Raw genomic sequence first — 11,337 nt, 5'->3', positions numbered from 1 at the left:
AGACTGTGGTAGCAGGGATGGAGGTCACACATGGGATCGGCACAGGGGCTCCACTCACCAAGGCCCATCCACTAAGTGCCCGCCTGCCCCAGTGTTGCAGGGGATCTGCCAGCCTCCAGGTGGAGTGGATGATATGAGACAGCTGCCGGCATGGAACTGGCACCGCTGCGCTTTCACCAGGATAGAGGCTTGCTCTGCAGGTGGACTGGCCCTCCTTGCCCACGGTGCTTTTGCCGAAACCACCTGTGGACTCTGGAGCGCCTCATTCGGCATTCTCACACTGCTGCTCAAGGAATTCACCACAGTTAATGGAGTAGGGCAAAGGCCCAATGCTTGTGACCTTGGAGGTCTTCCGTGGTCCTCCTCTCCCCGAAGCAGCTCACGAACAGGACCGTGGAATGGCCTTCGGGAGACTCACACGGCGCCTGCTGAGTGGGGACGCTTTGCAGAGAGGGCCGTGTCCTCCAGGAGGCGGTCCAGGCTCTGAATTAGAGTCAGTCTATGGAGCGGTTTCTCCTGCCGCCCAGACCTCACGGTTCTGGGAGTCCAGAAGGGGAAGTGGCAATGGCTTCTCTTCACCCTCATGACATTCTGCTGGTGATGTGTTTGCTCCCTGTCCCCACAACTCTAGGTCCTCTTGGTGTAGAAGTCTGAGTTCTCGAGGGAGGAGAGTTTCCCGCAGAGACACCAACGGCTCCACCAGACTGGAAGGTGAGATTGCACCAGGCCATTTTGGGATCCTCACTGCAGAGAATCAATAGGTAAAAAAGGCAGTTACTGCCCGGGCCACGGGACTGATTTTATCGGGCGGAATCGGCCGGGTTGCACAAGGAGGATGAGGAGGAGCACGTCTGGAATGCGGAGGGTCCCCTGCAGCGCCTCTTAAGGTTCCCATGTCCTGTGATTAAAATCATGGAAAACCATCACCCCTGATCCAAGCAGGGTCATTCAGGACCCAGGCTCTCCAGGAATGAAGGCTTAGGGCATCCCACCAGGCAAAGAGCCACATCAGCTGAGTGCTTGCGGAGGCGAAGGCTATGCGGGAGACGGAGGCTGAAACGCTAGTTCCCGCTGCTCGGCTGCTGCAGAAACGAAGCCTATCACAGGTGTGCGTGTTTCTTATTTTGATCCGAGTGTATTGGGTAGGACCACATTAGCCACTGTTTCTTCTCCTCTTCCATTCCCTACCACTTCATACGGTACTAGTGTATGAAGTGTACGTTTGATAGTAGTTGATATTTAATTATTTCAAACATCTCAGTGTTTAAATTTTAGGCTATCAGGCTGGGCACGGTGGCTCAGGCATGTAATCTTAGCACTTTGGGAGGCTGAGGCAGGCGAATCACCTGAGGTCAGGAGTTTGAGACCAGCCTGGCCAATGTGGTGAAACCCCGTCTCTACTAAAAATACAAAAATTAGCCGGGCGTGATGGCCCGTGCCTGTTATCCCAGCTATGTGAGAGGCTGAGGCAGGAGAATTGCTTGAACCCAGGAGGTGGAGGTTGCAGTGAGCCGAGATTGCACTACTGCACTCCAGCCTGGCTGACAGAGTCTGTCTCAAAAAAAAAAAAAAAAAAAAAAAAAAAAAATTAGGATATCAAAGGGAGAATGAGAATCAGCTGAATCCCATTCCAGCTGAATCCTATTCCCCCTTTGATTTTTTTTTTTTTTTTTTAAGGGGAAGAACACCCAGAGATGAATCAGGATCAGGGGCTCTCCTCTTCTCTGGGGGAGAGGGGGACATGCTGTTCTCTTGTATACGCTTGGCCACATCTTGTTGGGTGGAAGAGGGATTTGACTTTGTCTTTATTTGGAAGTTAAGTATGATTAAAAATTGTGGGTGGGGAATCAGAGGACCCCATTTGTATGAAATGTCCAGAACGTGCAACTCCATGGAGGTGGGAAGTGGGTCAGTGTTTGGCAGAGGCTGGGGCAAGGGGAGCGGCTGCTAGTGAGTGGGGAGTTGTTTTTGGGGGTGCTGCGGGTGGCACGCCTCTGTGAAAATACTAAAGCGGGGAGTTGTTTTTGGGGGTGCTGAGGGAGGCACGCCTCTGTGAATATACTAAAGCGGGGAGTTGTTTTTGGGGGTGCTGCGGGTGGCACGCCTCTGTGAATATACTGAAGTAGGGAGTTGTTTTTGGGGGTGCTGCGGGTGGCACGCCTCTGTGAATATACTGAAGCGGGGAGTTGTTTTTGGGGGTGCTGAGGGAGGCACGCCTCTGAATATACTAAAGCGGGGAGTTGTTTTTGGGGGTGCTGCGGGTGGCACGCCTCTGCGAATATACTAAAGCGGGGAGTTGTTTTTGGGGGTGCTGCGGGTGGCACGCCTCTGAATATACTAAAGCGGGGAGTTGTTTTTGGGGGTGCTGCGGGTGGCACGCCTCTGAATATACTAAAGCGGGGAGTTGTTTTTGGGGGTGCTGCGGGTGGCACGCCTCTGTGAATATACTAAAGCGGGGAGTTGTTTTTGGGGGTGCTGAGGGAGGCACGCCTCTGCGAATAAAGTGGGGAGTTGTTTTTGGGGGTGCTGCGGGTGGCACGCCTCTGTGAATAAAGCGGGGAGTTGTTTTTGGGGGTGCTGCGGGTGGCACGCCTCTGTGAATATACTGAAGCGGGGAGTTGTTTTTGGGGGTGCTGCGGGTGGCACGCCTCTGTGAATATACTAAAGCGGGGAGTTGTTTTTGGGGGTGCTGAGGGAGGCACGCCTCTGAATATACTAAAGCAGGGAGTTGTTTTTGGGGGTGCTGCGGGAGGCACGCCTCTGTGAATATACTGAAGCAGGGAGTTGTTTTTGGGGGTGCTGCGGGTGGCACGCCTCTGAATATACTAAAGCGGGGAGTTGTTTTTGGGGGTGCTGCGGGTGGCACGCCTCTGAATATACTAAAGCGGGGAGTTGTTTTTGGGGGTGCTGCGGGTGGCACGCCTCTGTGAATAAAGCGGGGAGTTGTTTTTGGGGGTGCTGCGGGAGGCACACCTCTGCGAATAAAGTGGGGAGTTGTTTTTGGGGGTGCTGCGGGTGGCACGCCTCTGTGAATAAAGCGGGGAGTTGTTTTTGGGGGTGCTGCGGGTGGCACGCCTCTGTGAATATACTGAAGCGGGGAGTTGTTTTTGGGGGTGCTGCGGGTGGCACGCCTCTGTGAATATACTAAAGCGGGGAGTTGTTTTTGGGGGTGCTGAGGGAGGCACGCCTCTGAATATACTAAAGCAGGGAGTTGTTTTTGGGGGTGCTGCGGGAGGCACGCCTCTGTGAATATACTGAAGCAGGGAGTTGTTTTTGGGGGTGCTGCGGGTGGCACGCCTCTGAATATACTAAAGCGGGGAGTTGTTTTTGGGGGTGCTGCGGGTGGCATGCCTCTGTGAATAAAGCGGGGAATTGTTTTTGGGGGTGCTGCGGGAGGCACACCTCTGCGAATATACTAAAGCGGGGAGTTGTTTTTGGGGGTGCTGCGGGAGGCACACCTCTGCGAATATACTAAAGCGGGGAGTTGTTTTTGGGGGTGCTGCGGGAGGCACGCCTCTGCGAATAAAGTGGGGAGTTGTTTTTGGGGGTGCTGCGGGTGGCACGCCTCTGCGAATATACTAAAGCGGGGAGTTGTTTTTGGGGGTGCTGAGGGAGGCATGCTTCTGTGAATATACTAAAAGCCCCTGAATGGTACAGTTAAAACAGTGAATTTTATAGTATGTGAATTATATTTCAATAAAGCTGTGTAGAAAACAAGAGGTACAGGTGGAAGCCCATGGGAGGGATTGGCACAGTGTCGCCCTAGCTGAGCGGGATGTTCATCTTCCAGGACTCCCGGAGCTGCCTTGTTAAGGGTAGGGTGGGTCACACGTGGCCTGAGCCAGCTCTGGGTGGTGGAGGGATGAGGCAGCCACGCTCTTTTTAAGCCTGGAAGTTTGCTCAACGCACCAGGGGCCCTTGCCGCTCTGCTGTGCACTGCAGTAGGTCTGGGCAGCAGTGGCATCCTCCTGGGAGTCTGGGCCCCAGCCAGCTGCCTGCCCTGCTGCCAGGCAGGAGGAAGTGGCATCCTGGATTCCACGCCATTCCTGGGAGTCCCCTGACTCTCAGGAGTCACCAGTGAGCTCCACGCTCCTGGGTCCAGCAGGCCCCCTCTGTCCTCACTCCAGCCCTCCAGGCATGGGGGGACCGGGTCCTCATGTCTTCCTTGCATTTCCCGTTGCTGACTGTGTTGCCCTTTCTCAGCCACTCCCTGACTCTGCCTACTCCCTCAGTGGAGGAAAAGGGCTCTTCCTGCCTTTTCTGTTCTCTCTCCCGCTTCTTGCATGGTCCCTCAGTGCCCAGGGGCTGAGTTGCCACTGACTGCAGGGGACCCTCCAGCCCAGCCCCTTCCATTAGCCCCTCAGCAACGGTAAGAGGAATCAACAGGTCCTGGGGCTCCACGCTGTCACCCCACTTATCTTTCATGTGTTAAGTTTTAACTTCGAGCCCCTCATTGGAATTTCAGTGGTGGCCTCCCATTTCTGTGGGGATAGTTCCCAGGTACCCCAGACTCCGCACATCCACCCAGGAACCCTGGATCCCTGCAGCCCTTCCCCCGAGGGCCAGCCTCCCTTCTCCTCTCGGACGAGAGCCCAGCAGCCACTGGAGCTGACTCCTCACCCCACCCCCATGAGCAGTACTGACGCTTTCTCCAGGATGCTTCTTTTTAAAAACAGTGTGGTAAAATCGACATAATACAAAACTGACCATCTTAACCATTTTAAACTACACTTCAGCGTCATTAGACACATTCGTGCTGTTGTGCAGCTGTCACCACCCTTCATCTCCAGAACTTTCTCATCTTCCCAAACTGAAACTCTATCCCCATTAAACACTCGTTCCCCATCCCCTCTCCTAGGCCCTGGCACCCACCATCCACTTTCTGTCTCTATGGATTTGACCACCCTAGGGACCTTCTACCCAGGGAATCACACAGGATTTGTCCTTTTCTGACCGGCTTCTTTCACTGAGCCCAGTGTCCAGAATGGCTCTCAGGTCGCACCTCTCTCCTGGAGCCCATGCAGCCTGCTGGTGCCTCTTGCAGCTCTGCCTACAATAGCCCCCTTGCTGGACTCACAAGTCCCACCCCCACCCCATCTAATCTGTCCACACAATAGGCAGTGTGACCTTCTAAGAGCTGGCACTGGCTGCCGGAATGTGTACCTCGCCCAGGCTTCCGTCCCCAAAATCAATGCTGGAGAAGCTCCAGCATCTAGAGGGAGAAACAGCCTTGAGGAAAAATCAACAATGTGGCACATCTCTAAGAATACTAGAGGCGGCAGGGGCGCGGTGGCTCACGCCTGTAGTCCCAGCACTTTGGGAGGCCAAGGTGGGCAGATCATTAGGTCAGGAGATCGAGACCATCCTGGTTAACACGGTGAAACCCCGTCTCTACTAAAAATACAAAAAATTAGCCGGGCGTGGTGGCGCGTGCCTGTAGTCCCAGCTACTCGGGAGGCTGAGGCAGGAGAATGGTGGAAACCTGGGAGGCGGAGCTTGCAGTGAGCCAAGATTGCACCACTGCACTCCAGCCTGGGCGAGAGAGTGAGACTCCGTCTCAAAAAAAAAAGACTACAGGCTGTGGTGAGCTGGTGTGCATGTGCACATGTATGTGCATGTGTATGCATTGTGCATGTGTGTGCAAGTGTGTGCGTGTGTGGGTACATGTGTATGCATGAATGCTGTGCTATATGTGCATGTGTGTGCATGCATGCATGTGTGTGCACACGTGTGTGTGGTGTTGGGAACTGCAACCTGGGGAGGAGACAGCTAGAAGCAGTGACAAGAGCAACAGTTGGAGGCAGGCTTGTCTTTTCCCAAGCTGCCTTGAGACAGTTGTTGCTGGCCCCGTCACTGCAGAAATCAGCAGCAATGGCCTGGACAGCAGGGAGAACAGCAGGGCAGAGTTAGAACCTTACAGAGGGGAAGTGGGATGGATAGAAACACGTGCAGATCTGCCAGCCGTCTCCAAGCAGTTGCTCCTGTATCCTTCTGCTCTGGTCTCAAGGCTGGAGGTGGCCACACGGGCAGTGGCCTCCTCCCAAAGCGGATTTTTTCCAGAGAGTTAATGGCAAATTTCACACAAGGTGCCTGGCTAGCAGGAACACTAAGAGGAATCAACAAAATTCTATGGGTCCTGGGGCTCCATGCTCTAGGCTCACCCCACCTCTCTTTCATTTTTTAACTTTTTGTTTTGTATCATTTCCAATGTGCAGAAAAGCTTCATTAATAGTACAAAGGATTCCTGTACCTCCGCCTATTCTCCAACTGTGAGCACCCTACCACCATTGCTTTATCACCCTCTTTCTATTACTGGACCTTCTTACACGTAGGGCCCCTCTAAAACAGCTGTTTCAATCCTTGTCTGGTCACAGTAGCACCTCTGGCCTTTCTGCACCTGCCTCCACTGACTGGCTTTTCTCCTGGTTCTGGGTCACGTTTCCCTGTTCCTCTGCATGCCTGGCCTTTTTTTTTTTTTTTGCAAATATTGCACAGTCCGTTGCTAGATTTTGTTGTATTCCTTTAATTGCTGTCGGATTTTGTTCTGGCATCCATGAGTTCCTGATACCCATCGGATCTTTGGAGCTTTGCTTCTATGCTTTGTAGGGTGAATCCAGGGCTGCCTTTAGTCTAGGGTTGGTTTAGAATCAGCACTCAAGAGAGGCTCTTATGAGGACCCTTCCCGACATCCTGTGTATTATATAGTTTTGTGGGAACACAAACTGTCTCCAGACCGTGTGACCTGAGCTACGGGGGTTTTTTCTCTGGCCTCAGGTGGTTTATCTTCATGCATGTGTGGATCCATATTCAGCCAAGGACCTGAGGGTCTCTGCAGATCCCTGGAGTTTTTTTTTTTCTCTCTCTCTCTCTCTGTATCTCTTTCTCTCTCTCTCTCTGTCTTTCTCTATCTCTCTCTTCTCCCCTTTCTAACTCTCTCTGCCTAGTTATCTCTCTCCCTGTCTGTATCCCTGTTTCTCCCCCTTTCTTCATCTCTTCCTCCCTCTCTTCCCCCTCTCTCCCTCTCCCGCTCTCTCTCTCTCCCTCTCTGCGTATCTCTGCCTCTGTCTCTCTCCTCTGTCTTTCTCTCTTTCCCCCACCTCCTCTTCAAAGATCTACCCTGAAAATTCTAGTTGCCTCATCCTCGCTGAGCTCTGACCTCTGTCTCCTCACCTCAGTGAGACCCAGGGCCCAGCCCAGAGACTCTCGGTCGGCTGGAAGATCACCAGGCTCCCCCGGCTGGTTTCACGTCCTTCACAGACCACCCACGGCGCGCTGTCCAGCGTTTGAGAACTTGCCTCACAAACTGTGTGACTGCATCCTGGTTGCTGGTTGTGTGCAGTGAAGGCCACGTGTGGTCCTAACTGCTCTATCACGGCCCAAAGAGGAAGAAGGACCCGGCAGTGTTAACTTGGAACACGGTTAAAATTGTAGCTGGCAGGTTTCTCCAATGTCACGTTGATGTTCTGTGCTTTGTAATTTCCAGTTTGTGGGGAGAAACGTGATGCCGTGTAACTTCCTGTTGCTTCTTAGACTTTTACTCACTCGTTTTAGCATCAGTTGAGGATTTGTGCCTAAATAATTGCTGTGCTGGTTGCCAAATGCCTTCTATGTTTATTAGTTGGAATCCTACTATATTTATGAGTTGGGAGGGGAGATGGGAGGGGAGGGATAAATATGTTTTAAGTGTTAAAGGAAAGGGGAAGGGAAGGGAAGAGGAACGCTTTCCTCTTCTTCCACGGTGGGCGGCAAGCCATCCAGGTGCCGAGGCAAGAGACCGAGGGCACGAGCTGTTCCAGTATAATAAAATATATAAAACAACAAGAGTTATACTAGATCTCGAGCATAGACATGATTATATATGAATATCATTAATCATTAGTTTGTAGCAATTACTCTTTATTCCAATATTATAATAATCCTCACTGTATAATCATAACCTAGGAAAAACCAGGCCATACAGAGATAGGAGCTGAGGGGACATAGTGAGGAGTGACCAGAAGACAAGCATGCAAGCCTTCTGTTATGCCCAGACAGGGCCACCAGAAGGGCTCCTTGGTCTAGCGGTGACGCCAGCGTCTGGGAAGACGCCCGTTGCCAGGCGGACCGTGGTCTAGCGGTAGCAAAAAGAGTCAAGGAACAACATCCGCTACTTAGCAGACCGGGAAAGGGAGTCTCCCTTGCCCTGGTGGAGTTTGGAGAAGACTCTGCTCCTCCACCTCTTGTGGAGGGCCTGACATGAGTCAGGCTCACCCGCAGTTATCCGGAGGCCTAACCGTCTCCCTGTGATGCTGTGCTTCAGCGGTCACGCTCCTAGTCCTCCTTCATGTTCCATCCTGTACACCTGGCTCTGCCTTCTAGATAGCAGTAGCAAATTAGTGAAAGTACTAAAAGTCTCTGATATGCAGAAATAATGGTGTAAGTTGTTTCTCTCTCTGTCTCCCCTCTCTCTCTGCCTCGGCTGCCAGGCAGGGAAGGGCCCCCTGTCCAGTGGACATGTGACCCACGTGACCTTATCTATCATCGGAGATGACTCACACTCTTTACCCTGCCCCTTTTGCTTTGTATCCAATAAATATCAGCACAGCCAGACATTCGGGGCCACTACTGGTCTCCGCGCATTGGTGGTAGTGGTCCCCCGGGCCCAGCTGTCTTTTCTTTTATCTCTTTGTCCTGTGTCTTTATTTTTACACTCTCTCGTCGCCGCACACGGGGAGAGACCCACCGACCCTGTGGGGCTGGTCCCTACATTCCACGGCCTGGGATGGCCCAGCCAGGGCCAGGCCCTGGTTCCTCCCCCAACACACTGCCCGACGCAGTCACCGTCACTTCAGGTGGAGCCTGAACTCATGGGCATACCTGCGAGAATGGAAAGGCAGCAATCTGATCATCACATTGCATACAGACAAGAACTGCTGAAAAACATGAACTGTGAGGCTAAAGCAATCCTGGTAGAAACTCAAAAACATGGCTGGGTGCAGTGATTCATGCCATAATCCCAGCATTTTGGGAAGCAGAGGTGAGCGCATCGCTTGGGCTGAGGAGTTCAAGACCAGCCTGGGTAACGTAGCAAGATCCCATCTCTACAAAACATACAAACATTAACCAACCATGGCGGTTCGTGCCTGTTGTCCCAGCTACTTGGGAGGCTGAGGCAGGAGGATTGCTTGAGCCCAGGAGATTGAGGCTGAGTGATCCAAGATTGTGCCACTGCACTCCAGACTTGAAAGAAAAAAACCCTCAAAAACATAAGGGATGGTGCTGGCACAGTGTGAAATGGGATGAAGAGGCATATACAAGGAGCTGGGGGAAAATACTGAGTGTGAGGAAGATGCCAGTTCAACAGTGAATGGGGTACATCACAGCATGGGTGCTGCTAGGAAACAAGTGAGATAAAATATCAAGTGTGGTGGAATTGTTCTAGAAGGTTCAGGAGCAATAATGAGAAAAAAACTTAAAAGGGAAGCAGAGACGTTTGAGGAGAAAAGGAGAAAGTAGTGGATTGGCTAGGAAGAGTCTCAGAAAGCAGAGGAAGAGAGGAGGTATTTAAAGAAATAATGAAAATAAATACCCCAGAATTACAGAAACACACGCAAGGGCTCTTGACAGGCCGGCGAGGACAGATAAGAAAGAACATAGATGCGTTACGGTGAAGTTTTAAAATATCAAAGTCCTGAATTGGCCCATAGAGAATCGGCAGAATTGCCTAAAAAGAGCAAGAAAGAATCGCATCATTCTTCTCAAGAGCGATACCGGATGTGAGAAGACAAAAGAATAATATTTCAAAGGCGTGGAAGGTAACTTTGAACACAGGATTTTACGGGTATGATTATTGTTTAAATGCAGCAGCGAGATGAAAATACCCTTAGGCACACCAAGCCTCAGAGAATATTAGGAATATTTGCCACTGAAACACTCACTTTGCAAACACTCAAAGCTGACTGAGCTACTCACGGACTTCTACACTTCGATCTTAGTGTTGGAGTAAGGTCGTGGAGCGTTTGCCACACCCCAGCTGAGATGTGGACTGGGATTGCACTGGATCCTTACGTTCATGTAGGGGGGTTTGACAGCTTTGTAATATTAAGGCATTCCCACACGAAATGTCTGTCTGCGTACTCTCCGTAAATCTACCAAAGTCCTCAGTTGAGTATAGCGTTTCCACAGTGATGTCTGGCATATGCCTGTTACATGTCAACTTTGATTGAAAAGAACAAAAAGAGAGGAATTTGCTCTGTCTGATATGAAGACATACAGTGAAGCCTAATAGGAAAATCCCATGGGATTGGCATAAGAGGAAAGTTAGACCAAAGACAGAGGGGTAGAGAGTTTGGAGGCAGACTCCTGTATGCACATATTCCACACTTACAAACATCCATTTAGGCTGGGTGCAGTGGCTCACATGCCTGTGATCACAGTGCTTTGGGAGGCCGAGGCAAGAAAATATCTTGAAGTCAGGAGTTTGAGGCCGCAGTGAGCTATGATCGCACCACTGCACTCCAGCCTGGGCAACACAGTGAGATTCTGTCTCTGAATATATGCATGCAATACATATTATATATATATTATGTATACTATATATGTATTATATATATGTATATGTATTATATAGAGATATACATTCATTCATAACTGCCCTTCTGTGAAAGAAAAAGCAATTAAACAAAAATATTTCCAATATTTTTAATGTGAAAAATTATGATATGCTCCATGCCAACCTGACACTTCTCAGATTTTTACAGATAAAATGTCAGTTGAAGAACGAAAATACATTCGTATGGGAAATTAAGAATTTACAGATTTTAAAACCATTTTGCCAGTTTCTACAAAGAAGCCTTCTGATATTTTTTTTATTTGAATTGTGTTGAATTCATAGATTAACGTGAGGAAAATTGACATCTTAATACTGAATTTTCCAATCCATTAACACAGCATATCTCTCCACTTAGATAAGTCTTCTTTAATGTCCCTCATCAATGTTTTTCAGTTTTCAGTGTACAGGTTTGCAAATCTTTTGCCATATTTATAGCTGAGTATTTAATATTTGATGTTTTTGCAAATGGCATTTTTTACTTCAATTTCCAATTGTTCTTTGCTACTATATGGAAATACAATTGATTATCTAGATTGATCTTGTATCCTGCAACCTTGCTAAACTCACTTTAATTAATGTAGTGTTTTTGCAGATTTGGTCAGATTTTCTTCACAGCTGATCATTTTCTGTGAATGAGGATAGTTTTACTCCTTCCAAACTGGAAGGCTTTTGTTCCTTTTTCTTGCTTTGTTCCACTGACTAAAACCTCTAGGACATTGCTAAATAGAAATTATGAGGACACCTTT

The sequence above is a fragment of the Homo sapiens genome, chromosome 11 (assembly GCF_000001405.40).
Source record: "Homo sapiens chromosome 11, GRCh38.p14 Primary Assembly".
NCBI lineage: Eukaryota > Metazoa > Chordata > Mammalia > Primates > Hominidae > Homo > Homo sapiens.
The sequence above is the reverse complement of the archived record's forward strand: the minus strand, read 5'-3'. Positions refer to the sequence as shown.